The sequence below is a fragment of the Homo sapiens genome, chromosome 4, assembly GCF_000001405.40.
Source record: "Homo sapiens chromosome 4, GRCh38.p14 Primary Assembly".
In the NCBI taxonomy this organism is placed as follows: Eukaryota; Metazoa; Chordata; class Mammalia; order Primates; family Hominidae; genus Homo; species Homo sapiens.
The window spans coordinates 61672328-61697966 of record NC_000004.12 but is presented as its reverse complement, the minus strand read 5'-3'; the positions used below and the strand labels follow the sequence as shown (position 1 = coordinate 61697966).

Below are 25639 nucleotides of genomic sequence, written 5' to 3'. Positions count from 1 at the left end.
TCCCATAGCTTGAGAGTTAATGGTATAGAGGAAGATGATCTGCTATAGCCTAATGATCACTCCTGGGCTTCATGTAACAGAATTTTTTTCTGGTTAAGTGATAAATATAAAGAGCAATATCCCTTAAGCGTAACCAAAGTATGCTACAATTATTAGGCCTTGGGAATTCAGAACAGAGAGGAATCCAGGTGATCGTTTTCTTGAAAATACCTCTGCCACTTACACCTCCTATACTGGGCTGATGTTTGTTACATTGAACTTTTGGATGTTTTTACCTATTTTTATCAGAGTTCAAATAATAGCAAATGTTTGATTCAAAGCTTTATTGAGGCCTATTTATTAGTATACTTCACCAAGAATATTACTTCTTCCTTGAAGTTCTGGATAATATTTCTTTCTTTTTTTTTTTTTAGGAGTTTCACTTTTGCCATCCCGGCTGGAGTGTAATGGCGTGATCTTGGCTTACTGCAACCTCTGCCTCCTAGGTCCAAGCAATTCTCCTCCTCAGCCTCCCGAGTAGCTGGGATTACAGGCACCTGCCACCATTCCTTGCTAATTTTTGTATTTTAGTAAAGACAGGGTTTCACCATGTTGGCCAGGCTGGTCTTGAACTCCTGACCTCAGGGGATCCACCTACTTCAGCCTCCCAAAGTGCTGGGATTACAGCCATGTGCCACCATGCCTGTCCCAATTCTGGATAACATTTATTTAAAAATATTTGTCTTTACTACTATAAAACCTGATATGTCATATTTTTGGATTTTACCCATCCATCATAATAGTTATTTGTGCATTTGTACATTTGTATTATTTCTTCTATTTGGTGATAAATTTTTTAAGGATATTGAGGTTACCTTTGTATTTAATCTTCAATTGATTATTTAATCAATGCTACTAAGTATCTACTATATTAAGTAGTGAGATACATAAGGGGTTATGAATATGGATAAGAAAGATACAGTTCCTGACCACATAGAACTTGGAGAATATGGCTGGGCACAGTGGCTCACACCTGTAATCTTAGCACTTTAGGAGGCTGAGGCTGGCAGATCACTTGAGGTCAGGAGTTCGAGACCAGCCTCACCAACATGGTGAAACCTCGTCTCTACTAAAAATACAAAAATTTAGCTGGACGTGGTGGCAGGCGCCTATAATCCAAGCTACTTGGGAGGCTGAGGCAGGATAATTGCTTGAACCCGGGAGGTAGAGGTTGCAGTGAGCTGAGATCATGCCACTGCACTCCAGCCTGGGCGAGAGAGCGAGACTCCATCTCACAAAAAAAAAAAAAAAAAAAAAGGTTAAAAAAAAAGGAACTTAGGGAATGTATCACCTATCATACATATAGAAGGCATTCAGTAAATATTTATACAATGAAAATTTAAAAAATAAGATTTTTGTGGTAGGTAGAATTTTGAAATATCATATCTGTAACAATTAAAATTAAAATATAAGCTAGTTGAACTTCAAGTACACTAAATAGTTAAATTAATAAATCATGACTTAATCTGATAGTATTGGTAAAGAAAAGAAATACAGTAGATGATTAAATTCACACTTAGTCTACCATTGTCTTACAAAAGGAACATTACCATAAATATTAAATATCATCTTCAGGTAACTTACCAGTTCCTGGGCAGGAAAAACCCTATCCTAGAAAGTATGCTACTTTCTGGAACAAGATATTCCCAATAACTTTGGGAACTTAAGTCATATGCAGATTCAGAAATGACAAATTTGATCAAGAAATTCTGCCCTCAGAATGGCTGAAAGCTAGGTCTCTAGCACCAAACAGTCAAGTTGTGAATACAAAGAAAAAGTTTTTGAAGGAAATTAAAAGTGCTACTCCAGTGCACACATGAATGATAAGAAAGCAAAACAGCCTTATTGCTGAAATAAAGTTTCAGCAGTTTGGATAAAAGATCAAATGAACTGTAATATTACCTTAAGCCAAAGCCTAATCCAGAGCAAAGCCTTAACTTTCTTCATTTCTGTGAAGGCTGAGAGAGGTGAGGAAGCTGCAGAGGAAAGGTTGGAAGCTAGCAGACATTGGTTTCTGAGGTTTAAGGAAAGAGGCCATCTCCATAACATAAAAGTACAAAATGAAGCAGCAAATTCTGATGGAGAGGCTGCAGCAAGTTATTCAGAGATCTAAGATAACTGATGAAAGTCAATAAAACAGCACATTACTACGCTACACTACACTAAAAAACCAATTATCAATGTAGACAAAACAGCCTTCTATTGGAAGAAGACGCTATCTAGTACATTTCTAGCTAAAGAGGAGATGATCAGGTCTGGCCGTAAAACTTCAAAGAACAAGCTAAGTCTCTTATTAGGGGCCAATACAGTTGGGGAATTTAAGTTGAATCCAGTGCCCATTTACTATTCTTGAAATCCTAGGGCAATTCAGAATCATGGTAAACTACTCTGCCTGTACTCTATAGATGGAATAACAAAGCCTGGATGACAGCACATCTGTTTACAGCATGATCTACTGAAAATGTTAATCCCACTGTGGAGACCTGCTACTCAGAAAAAGAGATTACTTTCAAAATATTACTACTCATTGACAATACACCTAGTCACCTTAAACCTCTGATGATAATGTACAAGGACATTAATGTTGTTTTCATGCCTGCTAACACAATATTCATTCTGTAGCCCATGGACCAAAGCGTAATTTCAATGTTTAAGTCTTACTATTTAAAAAATACATTTTTGTAAAGCTATAGATGCCAAAAACAGTGATTTCTCTGATGTGAACAAAGTAAATTAAAAACTTTTGGAAAGGACTCACCATTCTAGATGCTGTTATAAACATTTGTGATTCATGGGAGAATAAAATATCAGCATTAACAGGAGTTGCTTCTAACCCTTGAGGATGAATTTGAAGGGTTCAAGATTTCAGTGGGGGAAATAACTGAAGATATGGTGCAAATAGCAAGAGAAGTAATAGAACTAGAAGTGGAGCCTGAAGATGTGACTGAATTGCTGCAATCTTGTGGTAAAACTGAACACGAGGAGTTGCTACTTATAAATGAACAAAAACAGCAGATGTTGAGATGGACTCTAATCCTGGTAAAGATGCTGTGAAAATTGTTAAAACGACAACAAAGGATTTGGAATATTACATAAACTTAATTGATAAAGCAGTATCAGGGTTTGAGAGGATTGACTTCAATTTTGACAGTTCTTCTGTGGGCCAAATGCTATCAAACAGCCTTGCATGCTACAAATAAATCTTTTGTGAAAGGGAGAGTCAGTCCATGTGACAAACTTCATTGTTATTTTATTTTAAGAAATTATCACAGCTGTTCCAACCTTCAGCAACTACCACCCTGATCAGTCAGCAGCCATTAGCACTGAGGCAAGATCCTCCACCAGCAAAAAGGTTAGGAGTAGCTGAAGGCTCAGATGATGGTTACCACATTTTAGCAATAAGGTATTCTTAAATTAAGAAATACATATTCTTTTTATAGACATACTGCACACTTAATAGACTATAGCATAATGTAAACATAACTTTTACATGCACTGGGAAAGCAAGAAATAAAAATCTTTATTGTAATATGTCCTTTATTCTAGCATTCTGGAACTGAACCCACAGTATCTCTGAAGTATGCCTATATTTAAAAGGACTGGGGCCAGGAGCATGTAATCCCGATACTTTGAAAGGCCAAGGCAGGAGGATCACTTGAGGCCAGGAGTTTGAGACCAGCCTAGGCAACAAAGCAAGATCCTGCCTCTAAAAAAAAAAAAAAAAAAAAAAAAAAAAAAAAAAAAAAAATAATGACAAAATTTTAAAATAGTATAGGACAGAAAAATAGCATGATATAATATAATGGGTGCCTGAGTTGCAGATAAAATATAGAAGATACACTGTTTTGAAGTCATTATTACTATCTTTTGAGAATTACACTCTGTATATGTATTTTGTTGTTGTTCAGTATTTGTAGAAGCAGAATTCTACAAGTCACCAAAAGTCAGTTAGCAAATGAATGTCATACTTAAGATCCAAAGATGTAATTCATACTTTTAGCATTCAGAAACTTAGAAGTTATTAACTGCCTTGACAAAGAATTTGGACTTCTCACTCCTCTCCTAAGTGGAATCAAAGTATATCTGTTTCATATCACTGTAGATAGTCTTTACCAAATTTCACAAGATGCTATTTAATATCAAGCTGAAGAAAGCTGACACTGCCAGTCCTTTCTTGCCAAATATTGGAAAATTTAATTAAATAGACATTTGACTGCAAGAAGGCAATGTTGAAAACTAAATAAACTTTATCTTTTTAACCTTATTGACTGACCAAAGTATCACAAAACATCAATACCTCATCCGCAACAAGAACTGATATTGGATGAACTTTGTCTCTGTCAAGGATGTGAGTACTAATGGAGGTGGTGGAGCAAGCCTTAAAATCAAATTACTCTGATGTGACAGCTTAATCTCAGACTTAACATAATCTTTATTCTACTACTTTAAAACTTCTTGGTGATTTAATAATACTGATTTTAGGGATCTAGCATGATAAGCTTTAGACATACCAGTTAGAGTTCTGGCATGCTGTATCTTTGGTTTGTCTATCACATTAAGAAAAAAAAATAGAAAAAACTTTGGTTGGAGCTAGAGCTATTCATTACTCTGAAGCTTTAGAAAGGTGAACATGACACTTTACTGTTTAATTTGGTTACTTTATATAGGAAACTAAATAAATAATTGTAATAATAGTGAATTAAAGCATAAGAGAATAGCATCAAACAAAAGGTTATACTTTCTATTATTATTCCAATTATTACTTTTCTTTTCACAAAGTGGAGATCATTAAGCCTTACAAAGCCAATAATAATAATAATAAAAAAACCTATTCTTATCTTTAAGTTGTTTTACTCATAAATTTTGGCACTGTCATTTTCCCGCAAGTTCTGCTTTCACACAGGAAAGCATTATAACAAATCAAAGTAATTTGGTTACTTTGGTTTGTTTAGGAACATGAAGAGCTGCTAAAAAGGAAACTGACTGGAGCATAATAATTTTCAAGGTAGGAGCTCACATTTTTCCATGACTGGTCAAGAACACGCTAAAGGTACCCACTAGATGTTTGTTAAAGGAGTAGAATCATAGAATTTTTCAAAGTAAAATAAAAATTGTAATAGAGTGAATTGGGGAATAGCTATTCAAAAATTTAAAGAAGTATTAACACTATCATTAAGACAGGAAGAGAACGACCAGGCGTGGTGGCTTATGCCTCCAAGCACTTTTGGAGACCCAACAGGCAGATCACTTGAAGCCAGGAGTTCGAGACCAGCCTAGCCAACATGGCAAAACTCCATCTTTACTACAAATACAAAAATTAGCCAGGCATGGGGGGCAGGTGCCTGTAAACTCAGTTACTTGGGAGGCTGAGGCAGGAGAATCACCTGAACCTGAGAGGTGGAAGTTGCAGTGAGCTGGTATTAGGCCATTGCACACCAACCTAGGTGACAAAGCAAGACACTGTCTCAAAAAAAAAAAAAAAATAGGAAGAGAGAGAAAGAGACTAAATGGTGACTAGTGACCAATTAGAAGGCAGACAGAATTAAGCAACCAGTACATACTTTGATTCTGGGTTCCTTATATGGGGTTGAGAAATAGAGGGGAATGAAAGGAAATTCAGAGAAGAGGGTAGAAAAGAATTGCCAACTTGGACAAGCTACCTAATTCTTTTTCTATGTTCCTTATGTTTAAAATAAAAATCCTATCACCTAACTAAACAGATTACTGTGAGAATATGATAATATTATATGCAAAGTATTTAGTGCTGGCATATGGTACTTGTTCAATGAACAGCATCTACTATTAGGAAGAAGCTTTTAATTTTGTCTAGCAATTTCTCTTCCTTTTCTGATTAAGACAAAGAAGAGAAAATCGAGTAGGAGAGTCATAATCTATTTTTATTAAACACCCCAGAATATTCTTTCTCAATCAATTGTTTCCTGAGCTGTCGTCTCCTAAGTCATTCTAGCTTCCACTCCAATCAGAAAATGAGCTGCTAGTGTTTAATGATTAATTTGCATCAAAAAATTACCTAGCAACCATCACTAATATAAAATTAGATCTGAGTTTCTGTAAAAGTCTACAGTCTACTAAAAGGATCTGAAGAGACATGAACACTAGTCAATGTCATAATTTTAACTCTTAAAAACACATCCAGGTAGAATATCTCAAGAGCTTACATCAGAAGAATACAGTAATTTTTATACCTTGGTATTCAGAATTTTATGATTTAGTTTTTCCAACAATAGGCTAAATATCCGTATTAGATAGACTTTGTTAAAGTAATTATAGCAAACTTTTATCAAGCACTACTTGTGTGCTGGAAACTGTTTTAATTCTGTTATATGCATTACTTATTCAAATAGTCAAAGTAACCATGAGGTAAGGGTTTGTCTTGAAGAAATAAACCTTTTTCAAAAGCATCACATTCACTTGGATATTTGTAGTAAGCAATGGGACTCTTTAACTCCAATATCCATAAAAAAGGAAAAAAGTTCCTGTTTTCCATGAGTTAGGTTAAAAAGAAAAACAAGGCCAATATGGCCTTCATAGATTGGTCCCTATCAGTCCTAGATCTTCAAAACCAATAATAAATGGGATTTTTGGTAAACAGCTCCTAATAGTGTTCAAGCTACTGTCTGAGGATAAAGATAAGGTATTTCAACATTTTAGAAACTATCATCAGGTACCTAAGTAGCAGCGAGTGTCAAGATTTGATCAAGTACTATAATTCGTCATAAATTCTCAAATTGTGTGTTAGAATCAGTGCTAATCACAAATGCAGACCATATCGATGAGTGAATTAAGAAGTACAGAGTTCTAAAGACACAGAATAACATATGTTTCTCACTTTACACTTACCATTCATTCTTAAAAAGAGAAACACAAGCCATCTGTTGCAGAGCAGTCATTCATAATTAATGAGACTCAAACTTGGTATTTGAACCCATTTAATATGAGTATTAGTGAGTGCCTAATAAAGTGGAAGGAGAAATTCTTAGAGCTTTTTCTTGATAATATCCACAGTCATATTCTTTTCTAAGCAGGCAAGTTTCTTGAAGATAGCTTGATGTGTCTGAATGAGTAGCTCTTGATAAGTAACAGAGCAGGACAAGACCAAACACTGCCATTAAAAGTTTCTATTAGACTCTGATACACACACAAGTAGCCAGCTACCAATTCTTTTGGTCCTTGAGCAATCAGAATGAATCCAAGAGGAAAAAAAAAAGGAAGCCTTGTAGAAATAAATACATTTCCTCTCCAGCAAAAGTGAATATGATCTCTCTTCTGATCCTTCCCTGTTACCTTGTTAAATGTAACATCAAATGTGTTCTCTAAGAGTTAAGGTGAATATGGGAGACAGCAAGTCAAGGAAAACCATAATAGGAAAACTGTTATGTTCTACCTTTTAGGAGATTCAGTCTTTCTTTCTGTCCATAATTCCATTAGTTTTTCCTTTGATTGTTTTTTAACTTTAAATTAAAAAAAAAAATGAGACAGGGTCTTGCTCTTTCTCTTAGGCTGGTGTGCAGTGGTATGACACTGCAACCGCAACCTCCTGGGCTCAAGCAATCTTCCAACTTCAGCCTCCCTATAGTTGGGACCACAGGCATGCACCACCACACCTGGCTAATTTTTTATTTTTTGTACAGACATGGTCTCACTATGTTACCAAGGATGGTCTTGAACTCCTGAGCTCAAGCCATCCTCCCGCCTTGGCCTTCCAAAGTGCTGGTATTATAGGTGTGAGCCACTTTGTCTGGCCAACTTCAGACAACTTTTGGTATCTATGAAGTTTCTGTTACGGAGCATTGAACACATTTCAAACTTCTTTAAAAACTACGCCCAGAAAAGATTTGCCAAATAAATTTGAATGCATATTTGAAGGCTTCCAAAAAGCAAATGGTTAGTGTGTAGCGATTTAATGTGTAGTGAACATAAAAGTGTGTAGTGAACATAAAAGCAAATTTTACACCCACCTTCCCTAATAAAAAGTTCATTTACTGGCTTTCTCCAGGTAATTTTGAAACGAGTTTATAAGAAACACCATGAAGTTTGAGAACCAATCATAGGTAAAGAAAGACTATTCTTTTATAATATTGAGAAAGTTGGTTTTTTGATTTGTCAGTATGCCACCAAGTGCCTTATTATAGATCATATTGAAAGCAACCAAAGGCCAAACAATCAATCAGTCACATCAGGATCATTTTGAATACTGAAATTTCTCTGGAAGAATCTGAATTAAAATGAGAAACTGGATAGAATGCAAATTTCAATTAAAGAGATTATATTTTAATCTTTTATATTTTTGAAAGTAAGCCTTAATAACTCCTTCCATCTCTAGAGTATAGAAAAATCACTTTGGAAATTTAAAGAAACAAAGTAGCATGATGGACAGAGAAGTCAAATGGCTGTTAAGAGCCAATGAGTTCTAATTGTATAATCATTGACTATTTCACTTATTCTAAGTCTTAGGTTCTTCACCTATAAAAAGAACTAAAAGATGGTTTAGATTGTTTTATAATTAAAATCCATTGTTACTATCTAGAGACAGTATGTCAAGACTCATATAATCAGGTTCAGCCAATATTTGTTGAATGGAATAAAAGAACATGGCCCAAAGACCACCTGGAGACATTTATGGACATGGGTAACTCCTTAAGAAGAGGGAGAGGCTTGTTATATATGAGGAGAGCTGGGCCTGGAGGGAAATCAACTAGTACCAAAAGCTAACACCAGTTGAAGGAAAGTAAGAAAATAAAAGACATATGATTCGTGAAATTGTCAGTACCAGCATATCAACTCCAAAAGGGCTGAAGAACAGGAAATTTCAGTGACAAAATAACCCAGTGAGCTCAGCGTAGATTCAGAAATTTTGCCTGATGCTACAGTGAGCCATTATTCGTGCCACTGCACTGCAGCCTGGGCCACAGAGTGAGATCCCATCTCCAAAAAATAAAAGTAAATAAATAACTAAACAAGAAAATTTGTCTGATGTATTTTAGCTATCACCTGGGGTTAAAGAAAGCAACTGCATAAAAGAGAACTGGTTTAAGAGCTAAATCGTATGACAGATGCCTTTGTAATTAGCTCTGTGTGGTTCAGAGTGGGACATAAAATCCAGCAGTGATCTGAAATAAAAAATGAAGAATTAGGGCAAAGGTTTTGTCTGTGAAATTATACAAATAGTCAAGGGAGGTAGAGAATACTATAACTCTAAGATGGCTGGAGCTCCCCAAATCCTAGGATAAATTAGGTGGATTACATAATTCCAAGCTCCAGTGCCTGATAGCACTGATTATCAGAAGACATTACAAATGAGTGGCATGCAATAGGTGTATTAATTCGAATGGCTATGAGAGACTGAGCATTTCTAATGTGGCCATCATGGTACAAAGCTGTTTGAATATATTTCATTTTATTTTTTCACAGAAACTCTGTAAATTGATTATCATCTCCATTTTCTAGGTGAAGCCATTCACTCAGAGCAGTAAAGTAACTTGATTAGAACACAGCTAGTAACTGGCAAAACTAGAACACAAATTCAACTCTGATTCCAAAGCTCTTACTCGTAACTTCTAAGTTACATTCTCTAGTGCTTGAGGGAAATCAGTAAGGCAAAGACAGGGAAAATGTGGTCAGACCTAAAAAAGATGTAAATTATAATTAGATTATGTCTTTGCCATAGAGATATACTAAGAAACAGCCACTTATTTTTTCTCCAAATCACTTACTATTCTATCCTGTATTTGTTTCTGTTTTAGCCAAGGTAGAAAAGCAATTAGCCATAGAGAGAAGGAAGCTTATATTTATAATATATAGTATGAAGAACCAAATAGTATGGAGTTCCTTTCCCAGTCTTTGATCCTATCTTGTTATACTTATTCGGATGATGACAGAATGATGAGAAAACCGTATGTTTCTGGAAGTTAGGAACCAGTCATGTTTGTATCATGAGGGTGTGGGCATTTGGACTTCATAGAATGTTTTCAATATAATTAAGTTTTCATGAAATATTGGTAAAATTAAAATAATACATACAAAGCAGAACTGTAAGTCAATAAATATGTATTTAATTCAAATTTTACAAGTCAATTATTGTAAAAAAATTTCTATTTGAAGTTGTGAGAAAATATAAATGGAAAACTCACTACATTTATTCATCCCATTAATCTAACATGTATATTCATAAACAACTCTTTATTTACCCATTCAGTATTTTTGCTGCCTTATATAAATTGTAGATGAGTGTAATATAGTAAAAATAAAATTTACTAAATGCTAATTTGACCTGGATTTGCCTTGGGTTTAATATATTCATAAATGAATGTAAAATGACTTTTATCTATAATGGTATATTTTACATCCCACCCTTCCCTAGTCCATGACAGAGAAGGTATATGTTTATATTTTAAAAATAATGTATTAGAAATATACAATAATCTTTATTTAGAAAGCAAAACTATTAGAGGCTAGTGGCTCCTTCCTCCATCTTCTATGTATACCACTCCAACCTTTGTTTCAATTGTCATATATCCCCTTCCCAACATTGACTCTCTTGACTTCCTCTTATAAGGACATTTGTAATTAGATTGGAACTACTCAGATAATCCAGAATAACCTCCCATCTCAATATACTTAATCACAACTGAGAAATCTCTTTTGACTGTTAAGGTGACATATTCATTCTGAGAATTAGAATATAGACTTCTTTGGGGGAACTTTATTGAGCCTATCATATAATAAGTATTTATTTGACTTTGGATTTTATTAAAGCGTTTTGAAAAAAAAAATTGGGCAATTAAAAATTTTATGGTATTAACAGGAATTATGATCTCCTACCATTTGATACATTTTTTCCAAAATATAAACAAAAGTATTAACATATATATTCCTTTACTAATTACTAATTTTAATGAGGTGTCATGTTAAATTTAAACATAAAAAAGAATATAATTCTGTCATTTGTGACAATATGGATGAACCTGGAGGACATTATGTTAAGTGAAATAAGCCAGAGACAGAAGAATATCTCATGATCTCATTCATATGTGGAATCAAAAAATGTTGATTTCATAGAGGTAAGAGTAGAACAGTGACTACCAGAGGCTGGAAGATGGGGAGGAGTGAGGAATGAGGAGAGATGTGTCAACAAGTAAAAAGTTACAATTAGATGGGAAGGACTTATCCTTTAAGCTTTGTTGTTCTATTGCACAGGACGGTGACTATAGTTGACAATAACATGTTATATATTTCAGAATAGATGGAAGAGAGTATTTTGAATGTTCTTACCATAAAGAAATTAATTTCTGAAGTGCTGTATATGCTAATTCCCTGATTTGATCATTACACAACGTATAGGTGTATAAAAATGCCACACTGTACCCCATAAATGTGCACAATTATGTGTCAATTTAAAACAAATCTTTTTAATAAATAAGTATTTGAATGATGAAGTGCTTTCTAAACCAATTATTTAATTTTTTTAGTTTCATAAGATTCATGATTGGAGTAGAAGAAAATCAACAATGCTAATTTGTAGCATTTTAATCAATTTTACATTTATTTAGAACAGTTTTATCTGGAAATTTACTTCATAGATCTCACACAAAACATAAGATCTTTTCAGCAACAAATACTTTGGGATGAAAACCCTACCTTTGTATGTCTTTTACTATTCTTCTTGTATGCGGTATATTTTTAAAACAAGATATTTTAACTCTACATGTTTATATGGTTCAATTTCAATAACTTATACAAATTTCTTTGAATGAAATTTAAATGCATAAGTTCTATATTTTCCTATTTTGAATAAAGCTAAATGAGCATGGTTGAGCTAACCCCTTCAATCTTTTATGTCTATAATAAAGTTTTACTTCCTAAACCAAATATTTTCCTAACTCTGTCAATCCAACTAATTTTTTAATGCTCTCAATTCATCTCGATTCCTTACTAATTAGTATCTAAGTGTACATTTACATATTATTAATCTAAGTCTATATGAATCTTACCTAGATGTTTATACCATCTGATATTTGGTTTATTTGATGTAAGTTTACCTTCATATTACTGTAGTATAATGTAATATTTTCTAAAATATATATTAGAAAGAGAAGGTCAGTTTATTCAATTCTCTTCTGCAAACATATTTTGATTCTCAACAGATCCTAGAAACTTGAAAAAAACTGATTTTCATTATCAGTAGTGGTGACAGTGCTAATTGCTGGTTAGTAGCTCTCTAAATCTATCTACCTCATCTAACTGGACTTTGGCCACACTGTCTTTCTACCACTTACGAGAACAGGCCAACCTCTTCCCTACCTCAAGATCCTTGGAGCTGTCCTCTCTGCCTTGAAAGTTCTTCCCCAGACTCTTGGCCTATCTCGTTCTCATTCTTCAGGTCTCACATAGCCTCTTCAGATATTTCATCACACCCTCTGTAAGCCAGCCCCTTCATTGTTCTTTATCATAGAATCATATTGATTGTCTTCTCTTTTACCATGAAGTTTTGATTTTTTTTTAACATTAACTTTGATATTTACATGTATTGGTTCATGTGTTCATTATTTGCCTTACCCGTGGGACTAACGTCTTCACTGGCATTTAGCACAGTTATAGGACCATAGTAGGCAGCGATAAACTTGTTTGATAGAATTATTGCTGCTGTAAGAACTTATTACTAGCTTTTGAGAATTAAAAGAAAAAAATGGGCCAGGTGCAGTTGGCTCATGCCTGTAATCCCAAAACTTTGGGAGGCCGAGGTGGGTGGATCTCTTGAGCCCAGGAGTTTGAGACCAACCTGGGCAACATAGTGAGACCCCTGTCTCTACTAAAAATTAAAAAAATTAGCCAGGTGTGATGGTGCACGCCTGTAGTCCCAGCTACTTGGGAGGGAGGCTGAGGGGGAGAATTACTTGAGTCCAAGAGGTGGATGTTGCAGGGAGCTGTGATTGTGCCACTGTACTCCAGCATGGGTGAAAGAGCAAGATCCTGTTTCAAAAAAAAAAAAGTGCTAACAATTAAGAGTGCTTTTAAATCTACTAGAATGAAACTCTAGAGCAACAGTTGCAAATTTAAATACCTTTCAGAAGCCAGGAAATATTTAAAATTATTCAGGTGAACCTTTAGAATACAATACAATGAATTACTGAAAAATACAACAAACAGAAAAGCACAGAATCCACTCAAAGTGGGCAGAACCAAATCAGAGCTAGCCTGTTGTTGCCCAAAGGAATGCAAGGTCTGTGTTGCTCCAGACTTTATGTTAAATCTGACTTTTAGGTGTTTCGGAGGCCTAGGGAACCCCTCGGCAGGCTGAATCTGGCCCACGACCACTACCCTGCAGTCTTTGCTCTAAAGTCTTTACGGGGATCTGATCCTTCCTGGTCACACATAAGCTCTTTGCCAGCCCATTCTTCTTCCTTGGTAACAATACTCCACTACTGGATTTCATGAAGTCTTGATGTCCCAGCCTAGATCATTACAGGAATTAGATTAGCAGGAACACAGAGTCCTGATGAGACTGTCTAGGAGTTCTTGATCTCTAGATCACTGACTCTTACTTTTTCAGAGGCCTGGCCTTTCACCTTTTTTCTCCTTTGTTTCTGGAACTAATACTTTGTATTTGGCCAAAAAAAACCTCTGCTTTATTTAATTTAAACTAGCCAAAGTTGGTTTTCACAGATTTTCAAACAAACATTTCTTAATAATATATCAATTAATGACATTCAGAAATGGCTCACTACCTTCTCCATGTTGTACGTTGTAACTGGTACTAGATTCCAGAGAAATCATAGCATACAGGGAAGTCCAAGATTTCTGCCTTGCCCATCTATGGGTTTATTTTCTGTACCTCTTGCATTTTATATTTCATGCAAATACCAAATGGTTTTGGTTTCACATTCTCCATGCGATTTATTACCTAGCTTGTCCTCTCTGCTAAAAATGATTGCCCTTCTTCTCTCAGGAAAGTCTATTCATATTTTAAGACTCAGCTCTAGCAGGGCACGGTGGCTTACTCCTGTAGTCCCAGCACTTTGGGAGGCAAAGGTGAGAGAATCCTTAGAGCCTAGGAGTTCGAGACCAGCCTGGTCAAAGTGAGAGCAGCAGGAGGCAGGCAAATGCCTAGGCAGATAGGGGTGGGTCCCCAGTGAAACCCCACCTCCAAGCCAAAGACAGTTTAAAGCCTGAAAGCCAAGCTACAAGTTAAATCCTTGGACTGGATTGAGAACTTCCTGTTTGGTGCGCTTTCCTCTGATTGATCCCCACCCTTCACCTATTTTACATATAGCTACCCTTTTCTAATTGTTTTTCTACACTGTCATGCCCACCTTTGAGTGGTGTCTTCACTTTAACCTTTTTTGTACACTCACAAACCAATCAGCATGCACTCCCCATTGTGGGTTCATAAGAGACCCCAGACCCAGACACACGGGGCACTTTCTCATCTTCAGGTACGGGAACCACCCCTGTATCCCCTCATTGCTGAGAGCTTTCCTTTTGCTTAATAAATTTTACTCTACTCACTCTCCAGTGTCCGTGTGGCTAATGCTTCCTGGTTGTGAGACAAGAACTTGAACCTAGCTGAGCTAAAGAGCAGAAAGACCACAACAACAAGCAAAATGCCATTTCTACAAAAAATACAAAAATTAGTTGGGTGTGGTGGCATGTGCCTACAGTCCTAGCTACTCTGGAGGCTGAGGTTGGAGGATTGCTTAAGCCAGGGAGGTCCAGGCTGCAGTGAGCAGTGAATATGCCACAGCACTTCAGCCTGGGTGACAGAGCAAGACCCTGTCTCAAAAAAAAAAAAAAAATACAGCTCTTGAAGGGTCACCTTCTCTAGAAGAGCATCCATGAAGACCTCTATCCCCACCACCACCACCCTAGTCAAATATCAGCCACTTTGGATCAGTGTGCCTTCTCTGTATATTTCTAATGTGAAATGCTTAATCTAACATTGTAAATTTAGGGACTCTAAGCCCCACTTGACTGAACTCCTTGAAGGACGACAGAATCTTTATCTTGGTTTTTGACCCCTAATATTTTATTATAGTGCCTGGTATGCAGTAGGTACTCAATAGATGGTGAATGAAAGGAAGATAAAAGAAGGAGGTCTCACAAGCAAGTAATATAATCTAGTTGAGAATAACTTCCATGCACATGTGAAGCAGTTCAACAAAGGTAGGAGGGAGTTTATGACTAGAACCTGTGAGAAAGTATACTTGCTGGGCACAGTGGCTCATGCCTGTAATCCCAGCACTTTGGGAGGCCTAGGCGGGAAGATTGCTTAAGACAGAAAGATTGCTTTGAGACCAGCCTGGGAAACATAGTGAGACCCTAGGTCTACAAAAAAAAAAAAAAAAAATTTTTTTAAAGAAAGAAAGTAACTCCAGCTATGTATGCTTCCTATTTTCTAAACAGAATGATGATAGCAAAATATATGAATATGCAATATTTTTGGCATATAAGCAGGGTTTAATTATTAATTAACCATTGGTTCATTTCCCAGACCTTTATGAATCATCTGTTATATAAAAGATTCTGTGAAGGAGAGATAAATTATTTGGAGGGAAAGAAACTGTGGTAAGGGAGAGAAAGAATGGGAGAGAAGAAAAAAACATTTTGTTGCTCTTGTTATAAATATAATTCTAAAAAATTTATATAGCTGATACAGAGAGAGGAACATTTAAACAAGGGACAATACTTGCTATATTATACAAAGGCATACATAATAATAATAATAATATGAAAAAAGGTTGCTGGTATCATTCTTGAGGATTGCAATCACCAAGTAATTTGGAGAAACTGAAATTTATATAATGTATATTTTTAAAAATAGATCTTTCTTTTGAATTAATAAGGTCTTATTTGCAGACAAGAGTTTTTGTGTTTATCATTCTAGCAATGAATGCAGTACTTTTGGAGAAGCCATTTGACTAAATTTTCTTTCTTCTTCCAGTCCTTCAATACATATTTATTGAATGTCTACTGTATATATGAAGCAGAAAAAGGCACTGGAAAGAAATTAAAATATACCTTGGACATTTTTGTGATCTTTCTAAAATTAAAAATATCAGTTAATTTCAGCACGATGAGTTAAAAATATGTAATTATTTATTTACATAATAGTAACCAAATGTGTACACATTTAAATATGCACTCATTTGGACATTAGTTGCAAAAATGTATTTAATCATTTATAATTAAATATTTAGATTGTTTTAAATGCTAAACGTGTAATACATTTTTCTTTTAGTAAAAATGATGAAACAGTTACATAATTATTTATAAATACCAATCTTCCAATAATGCTCATTTTTCTTGCCTGTTCATAAGGACAATCATGCACACAACTATTCAAATGGCTAATGTGACTAGTGAGAAAGTCTTAAGTGCTATAACAAGGTTGTTTTAATCAAACATTCATTTCTAGTCACTTTCCAAATTGTGTACTTCCCCCCGCAATTTTCTTAGAAAATTCACCATGAGAGAAGATTGCTAGAATAAGTAATATATGCTTTATTGTTCTGAAAAAAAAGAAACAAAGAATTGAAGAGAAAAGCTGGACTGTGAGAGAAGACAAACACCTTTTGAGTGTAATGTGCGTGAAATTGTATGCCTCGGAAGAAAGACAATTTGTCAGCAGGATACAAAGTAAAGATTCTTTGCTCAGAAATACTCTGAGTAGGTGGTTAGTTGTTTTATTGCCTTCTCTCTAATACAAGTCATCCCTGTAACCCTGCTGAATGAAGGCAGCTCTAGATGACACAATTTCAATCTCAAATCAAGTCAGAAGGGAAGGAGGTAGGGTGAGAAGAAGAAGAAAGATGGAAGAACAAAAACGTGGCTTTGGTAAATGTGAGGTTTAACCTCTTGAATATTTGGGTCATCTCCTAGGGAGAAAATATCCACTAAGGAAGAACATCAAACCTCCTAAGAAAATGCAAAGGCTACAAAAGTCATACTGGAACTGAGGTGTGCTAGGAACAGAGAAAAGTATTGATTCATCTGTTCCAAATTTTGTCAGGAAAAGTGTGCCTGTGAACCCAAACAAGAAAAAACAGAACAGAAGTAAGAAGGTAGGACTTAGAAAAGATTAAATATAACTTCAGTGACTCGGAAAAATAAGTACAAAACACTCAAAGAAGGTGGTCTGAGTAAACAGTTTAAAAACTAACTCTTCTTATTTTCTTTCTCATTGACATCTTTAAAAGTCGTACCATTTGACTCATTCAAGCTAAGATTCCTCTAAAGTTGTCATTGTTCAATGTACCTATTTAGTGACTCCTAAAATTCCGTGCAAGAATTATTGCAAGCTTTTCTCAGATACTTTACTTCACTTATGTGATACAATGAACTTTATTGACTCTGTCTATATTACCTTTAATATGCTTCATTATTATGTTTTCCTATAAATTTTGTTTTTCTACATTTTGTCCATGAAAAAGTCTCACCTTAAAAATGAATATTGCCATGGAAACACACACACACACACACACACACACACACACACACACACACACGAGTATGTATAAATTTAAAAAAAAGTTTCTTCTACACATCAATATTAAGAATGAAACATTCATAAATAGTACATATATTACTACAAGCACTAAAGTTTGTGGTCATAAATTCGAAATGGAAATGGATATTACTAAATTGTATAACAAACAGAACCTAACACTGTTCGTTCAGTTGTTTAATTCCAATATTAATATTAAATCCTAAGTCTGAAATTTCCCTCACATTAATGAAATAGTGATCTTTTATCAAGAATCATAAAATATAATTAAGCACAAGGATTTTCTCTAATACAGGTAATTAAAAAAGTATTTTACTTAGGAGCCTCATTCTAAAGTGCAAGTAGTATTTTCATGGTACAAACTAGTTACTTCATAAAGGTTTGGGAAAATAAAAGTTTGCAATGATTCAGCTGCTTTAAGAAAAAGGACAAAAACATCTTTAAAATAAACAGGTAAAGGACTAAGAAAAACGACTTGGGCCCTTGAAACACTTTCTTTCACCACATGCCATTAATGTACTGATGAAAATTATGAGTTAAAACTATTATATAAGATTAAATAGCTCATGAAAATATAAATGAAAAACAATTATGGAGAGAAATACAGCTAGGTTCTTAAGAACAGGTATTAGAAACAGACCCAAATCTAATCTTTGCCATTCTCTAGCTAGTCTACATTTCACATGGGACATTTCACTTTATCTACTGAACTTCAGTTTCCTCTTCAGAAAAATGGTGATACACATAACAAGGAGGATCTTGTAAAAATTAAATAGCCTATGCATGTAAACACTATCCATGTAGAAAATGGCATGTGGTTAAGTGTCAATAAACTATAACTATTTTAAATAAGTAAATCTTTTCATCATTAAAGAGTCATTAATTTTATGCTTAAGAAAAGAAAAATAGCTGAGTGTTGTTATAAATCAGAATTTATTAATAGATCAGGGAAGGTCTACAAGGTGAGATCCAGGAAAAGGACCTAGCTTTTTGTTAAGTAATCAGACTGTATTCTAAATCCAATGATATAGTTTGCATGTGTGTCCCCTCCAAATCTCATGTTGAAATGTGACCTCCAGTGTTGGAGATGGGCCACGCAGGATATATTTGTGTCATGGGGGCAGATCCCTCATAAATGGCTTGAAGGCCTCCCCGTGGTAATGAATTCACATAAGAACTGGTTATTAAATAGAGTCTAGGAGCTCCCTTTATTGCCATATGAGGTACCTGCTCCCCCTTCACCTTATACCATGAGTAAAATCTCCCTGAGGCCTCACCAGAAGCCGAGTAGATGCTGGTGCTATGCTTGTACAGCCTGCAGAATCGTGAGCCAAATAAACCTCTTTTCTTACTAAATTACCCAGTCTGAGGTATTCCTTTATAGCAACACAAAACAGACTAACAAAAGCACCCATGCTCTCTGATCTCTGGTTGTCTTTCTCTCTCCTAAACCAATCTACCTTTTGAATGATCACTATAGTTTATTTTATGATTTATACTTTCTTTTGGATTATTTTCTTTTCAAATCGTGTTAAATTTATTAAATGAATTCCAATTCTGCATTATACTTTTAACTGAAACATACTCCAGATAATTTAAACAGACACGATCAGGCTACAACGTATAAATTAAACCAGTGTATAAACTGGCAAGTGAGTATAACTGAGTGTATAATTCTTATTTAATAAAATTATTAGATAAATATTTTGATATAATATTTCTAAGGCAGGCAGTAAACTTTCAGGATTATCAGAACTCTCTAAATGTAGGACATTAAGGAACCAAATTGCCAATCTCTGAAAATTTATGAGAGAAAGGAAACCTGTGGTAAACTATAATCCTTTTATGTAAAAGTGTATGAGCAAGTTCTTATTTATATTAAAGTGATTTAAGTAGATGATATTTCAGAATGAGTTTGGCAGAGGATTTTGAAGTGGCTATCCTCAAAGACATTTTAAAGTAATACAGGAAATTGAAGAGACAGCCGTGAAATTCTTTAATTAAAAAAATATGATAAAATCTACAATCTGAAATTTTACTTCAGCTTTTATATTTCAAAATATGAACATACAAATATGAATGTAAGTTGCCTAAAACTGTCTTTAAAATCAAGGTGTGTAACTTATTTTTAAATAAAATTCCTTGATAGAACAGGAGTCTTTATATTTCACAAAGGTCTTATTATGCAACCCAAGTATAATTGTCCCAATTCCAGGATGGTTTACAAATTTTATTTCCTTAAAATATCACTAGTGAACAATAATCGTCAGTAGGGGCTTTACCTTTTCATAGAAGGGCCTATAGAGATAACAATATAAGAAGCATAACCTAAATGAGATATCAATAAATCCTGTACTCTGAGGATTTTTCATAACAATGAAGATCAGCTTATAAAACTTCACAAGATAAACTTTCTCTAATCATTCATTCTATAAATGAAGCTGAACGAAATTTTCTCTGAATTGTTTTCACTATTATTTTAAAATTTCAATTCTTCTCTTATTGGCCAAATTTCTATTACTGAAGTATTTATACTTCCAGCTCATGAGTAATGTCCTGCTTCTTTAATAAGCGTGAATGAGGCAAGCCTAGAACTATCTTTACAAACGCAAACTTGCTGATCCCCAGATACTTTGCTTCTTATGAAACATCAAAGGAAGTTGAAACCTAGGATTTGTTTATGATCCCAGGTGTTTTCTATCTCTGGGATAAGCTGAATATCTATTATGAGAATACATAATTTCCTGAGTGATTTTCACTAATAATCTCATAAATAATTAACGAGTTAGATATAAAAATTGTTTTGAGATGGTGATTCTTATTTTGAGTGGGAAAGTCAGAAAATGTTTCATTTTAGATTTTTTGATTCTTCATTATTCCTGAAGAAAAGACATGTTGTTGGCATATACCATATCTGATAAAAACATTGCAAAGACATACTTCTTGAAGCTGTAAAACATATAGTCTGAAGAGTACTTCAAGTTCTTTTAATCTTTATTTTTTCTTTCTGGTCTACTCCTTCTGGATGAATATATTTCTAATTCTCAAAATGTTGACAGCAGATGAAGCTTAGATACAATTCTATCAAATTCAAAATGTATCAACTGCTATACATTACATATAAAATTGTATTGCTCATTTTCACCTCTTATCTGCTTGGACCTGGAGAATTGGTATAACACTCCCCCAACCTTTTTCTAAATGTTTTATATTCTTGCATTAATTAAGAAAAGTGTGTTAGAACACGTATTCATATACAGAAATAATCACAAGTAAATGCCGTAGGAGAGGGTAGGCAATATCTAATTCTTCTGATGGCAGGGAGGGTCTATGATTCTCAAAAATTAATATTAGCCAATTTTTTCATTTAATTTACGTGATTTATGTTTTCATAGAGAATATTTGTCAATGCATGCAAAACACAGTTTAGTATCTTTTCTCTTGCCAAGAAAAGTATAGGAATATACATACTGTAAGGGACACATTCATACTGCACTTCAAGGTATTTATAGGTTCCTGGACACGGGTCTGGAAAAACATCAGGACCTGCCACCACTGCACACTGGGTTCTGTTATTGCATCTGAAGTCAAAAGAAAGGAAAAGAAGTAGTAAGCTTATGCAAAGTTAAATTATTATCAACATCAACACTAATTTTATTTTAGTTCCTGTTATACAGATTTGAATAAGGTTTTGCTTAATTTGGGGCTTTAGGCCTATTAAGAAAATATCTGTAGTACACTTTTTAGAAACTACACATTAAAATGAATCTATTCAGCTTGCTCATATTAGCTAATTTAATATTTGGTTGAATACAGCATAATTTCTAGTTAGAAGTTAAATATTGCTGAAGCAACACTAACTGGTCCACAGGATATTGCCAATGTGAACACAAGTAGGAAAGACTATTTGATAGGAAAGACTCACTCCAGTACAAAAAAAAAAGTATTTTAGAAAATATAACCACAGAGTTTATTAGGCAGTTGTAAAATAAATTCACTGACTATGATGACATTCATTTTAAAGGTATGAAAAGTGGTATTGAAAAGCTTTATCTGAGCCTAACAAATTAGTAAAAAGTTAATATTTAAATGTTAAAATTGATATTTGAATTTATTTTGTAAAAATTAATATAATATTACTACTTATTAAAACCACTTTAGGAATTAACTGTCACGTTCCTTTTGTTCAGCCAAATAATGATACAATCCTCGTGGATTACTTATCACAAAGGTCAAAATCTTATAAAATAATGAATTTAAATTTATAAAAAGAATAATGACATACCACTAATAAAACATAAATATAAGATGGAACTGGAGGTTATCATGTTCAGTGAAATAAGACAGGCACAGAAAGACAAACTTTGCATGTTCTTATTTATGGGAGCCATTAAACCCATGGAGCTGTAGGGTAGAAAGATGATTACCAGAGGCTGGGAACGGAGTGAGGGGTAGAGGGGGGAGGAAGTGAAGATGGTTCCTGGGTACAAGAATGGTTAGAAAGAATGAATAAGCCCTAGTATCTGATAGCACAATTGGGTGACTACAGTCAAACGTAATTTAATTGTACATTTAAAAATAAAAGAGTATAAATGGATTGTTTGTAGCACAAAGGATAAATGCTTGAGGTGATGAATATCCCATTTACCCTGATGTGATTATTACACATCGCATGCCTTTTTCAAAATATCTCATGTTCCCATGAATATACACATTGACTATGTTCCCACAAAAATAAATAAATAAATAAATAAATAAATAAAACTTTCTAAGCCATAGGAAAAAAAAAACATGAATACAAACTTGGGCACTTTTGTGGCAATTAGGCTAAACAAATCTGAATTGATTAATTCATGGGGAAAAACAAACATGTTGAAATTAATTATAATTCTGAAAAAGATACCCATACTCACAGTGGACTAATTACTGTGAATTTCACTCAGAAACGTTCTAAATTCAAAAATTTATCCTTAAGTATATTGTCTATAAAAAGCTAATGGTTTTTCCTACCCATAATATTGGCACTAAGTCTATAATATGAGATACTCTAATTATCCCCTGTGTTTTATGTTCTTGTTTATTCATTTCAGAAATATAATACCTCAGGGCTAGATTCTTCTGTTAATTCCTTAAGGAGATGTTCTGTTCTCTGATGTGACCTCAGAATACTTGCAAGGATAGTGGCAACATAAAGAGCATCTAGAGCAGAACTCACTTTGATTTAGTGTAAAAATACGTTGGGTTTACCTGAGGCTACCATTTGTCAGGCTTAATAAGGATTTTATTTAGTCCCTAAATTTGATTCATTAATGAATGTCTGAAGCTGAAAAATATATTCTGTGTTATCAGTGAAAGGTGAATAAAAGCTAATACTCCATACTCATCAGGCAATTTAGCATAACAGCTAATCCTGAAGGTTAACAAGTTGTAAGGATTTTCTATGTTAGAGGCTGATGATCAGACAAATGTATAATAACATTAAGGTAAATGTGGCTGTCCTCACACATGCACCACAAATATGTTATCTCGATGTTTTGGTGTACTCACACCTTCTTAAAATAGTAGATCTTTCGTATTACAAAGAAATTATTTGAAGAAGCTCTTCAAGTCAAGTGACATGTTTTTAGCCATTAAAACAATATAATTTTCACATTACACCTTGAATATACAACCTCATAAATCCATGTCAAGTTTTTAATACAATAGGCAGGGATATGAACTCATAAAGTTATTTTTGTATTTGTTATAGAAAAATTAGCAATTATCAGGAACACATTCAAAGTAGACATAATGGAAAAGTGGCACTATAAAATTTAATATAATGTAAATATTCTGTAAGTGTAATATTAATTCTGATGTGTGAATATTTATACATATCTCCTTTTCTTCCTATCTTGGTCTATAGTCATTTTATTCCCTATTATTAACCTTTTTAATTACCATAGCTCTAATTTTAAAAAATGTATTTAGAAGCAATATCTACTCTTGTAATTTTCAGGTATAAACAGGCAACTGTAAATATTTTATTTAAATAATCAATGTACGATATAAACAGATCAGCTTACTACTCATTTCTGACCAGAGCATAATAGTTAAAATTTACAATTATGGAAGAATATGTTGCACAGAAAGTTGTGTTGAATCAATAGGGATTTCAAATGGTTATGTTTATATAGATTAGATTAGAAAACATAACCTGGAGTCTATACACATCTATCTATCTATCTATCTATCTATCTATCTATCTATCTATCTATCTAAAAATGCATCGACAAATTTACATATTATATATTATGAAGTTGTAAATTACTAATTATTTATCTATATGTAAGAAAATTATAAAAGCAACGATCTGTTGTAAATATTAGTTACCATTGTGAGTTCCAAATAGATTATTTAATATTAACCGAAGATGAGTCAAGAAAGCCTTCTAATTAATGAGATAGTGTCTGTTCAGTGGTATATAAAACAAAAAATGTTATGCCTATAATATATTTATAGTTATTATCATCATTGTTCTATATAAAACAGCAGTAATTTATAACATTCACCTTTCAAAATAATTTATGATTCTATTACTATGTTTATATCAAAAGTTCATTATAAATTATGATTATTAAAAAATAAAATGGAAAAAGGTAGATTCAATCTCTGGAATACTATTTTTATATAGGATACATTATAATATTGATTGTTTAAAAACTAGCTATATTTTGAAAACAGGAGTTTAAAGGTTCTGTCCTTTACTTCGCTTTCTTTTTTTAAATGACTTCAGTTACTGTGAGTTAAAATGAAATTAAGATATAATTAAAGATTTATAAACAATTTAGTCCACAAAGACTCCTTTTGTAGTTATTTCAAAATTTTTAAAAGTAAATTCATTCTAAAATATTATAGATGAAAAAAGTGAGATAAAGTAATCTAATGTTCTCAAATGCTTTAGTTTCATTGTTTATTTTTAAAGTAAACATAAATTAAAAACATGCTTTTTGGTATCCCTCTTACCTAATGTTTTGATATATCTTTACAATGTAAAATGATTACCACAATAAGGCTAATTAACATATTCATCATCTTACAGTTATCTTTTACTGTGTTGTAAAAGTATATAATACAGTATTGTTAACTGTGGTTACCAAGCTGTACATTAGATTTCCAGAATTAACTCATTCTGCATTACTGAAACTTTGCCCCCTTTGATCGACATCTCCCCATTTCTCCTATCTCCATAGCTTCTGGAAACTACCATTCTACTTTCTGCTTCTAGAAGTTTGACTTTCTTAGATTCCACATATAAGAGGGATCAAATAGTATTTGTCTTTTGATGTCTCACTTATTTCATCTAGCATAATGTCCTCCAGGTTCATACATGTTATCACAAATGACAAGAGTTTCCTTCATTTTTAAGGCTGAATAATATTCCATTATATATTTATGTATACCACATTTACTTTTTATCTATTCATCTGCTGATGGCAGTTAGGCCAATTATATTTATCTTATTTATTGTGAACAGTACTGCAAGGAACGTGAGACTACAGATATCTCTTTAAGATATTGATTCATTTCTTTTACATATCCATACCCAGAAGTAAGACTACTGGAACATATGGTAGTTCTATTTTTAATTTTTTGAAGTACCTACATACTGTTTTCCATAATGGCTATACCAATTCACATTTCCATCAATAGTATATAAGGATTCTCTTCCCTCTACATTGTCATCAACACTTATCTTTTGTCTTTTTGAACATAACCCTTCTAACAGGTATGCAGTGATATCTCACTGTGTGGTTTTGATTCACATTTCCCTGACGATTAGTGAAGTTGAGCACTTTTTAATATATCTGTTGGCCATTTGTCTTCTTTCAAGAAATATTTATCATGTTTCATTGTTGATAGACTGAGTCCACTTTTAAATTAGGTTATTTGTTTTCTTGCTATTGAGGTGTTTAAATTCCTGATATACACTGGATATCAACCCCTAAATAAACGTGTAGACCAATGGTACAGAATAGATAGCCCGGAAATTAATCCACATGTTTATGGTCAATTAATTTTCAACAAATGTGCCAAGAA

The 25639-nt window shown here is 33.7% G+C and overlaps 1 protein-coding gene across 59 annotated transcripts in view; it reads right to left on the bottom strand.

The window, feature by feature from the left end:
- The window catches only part of ADGRL3 (adhesion G protein-coupled receptor L3), an 878010-nt gene that overhangs the window by 380369 nt on the left and 472002 nt on the right, over positions 1-25639 (bottom strand). For 57 of the 59 annotated variants that reach the window (NM_001387552.1, NM_001322402.3, NM_001387522.1 and 54 more), the window contains one exon: positions 21032-21141. The exons of the other annotated variants lie outside the window; for them this stretch is intronic. In NM_001387552.1, the coding sequence (NP_001374481.1) occupies positions 21032-21141 (110 nt within the window). The remainder of the gene's footprint in view (positions 1-21031; positions 21142-25639) is intronic. 59 annotated transcript variants of the gene reach the window in all.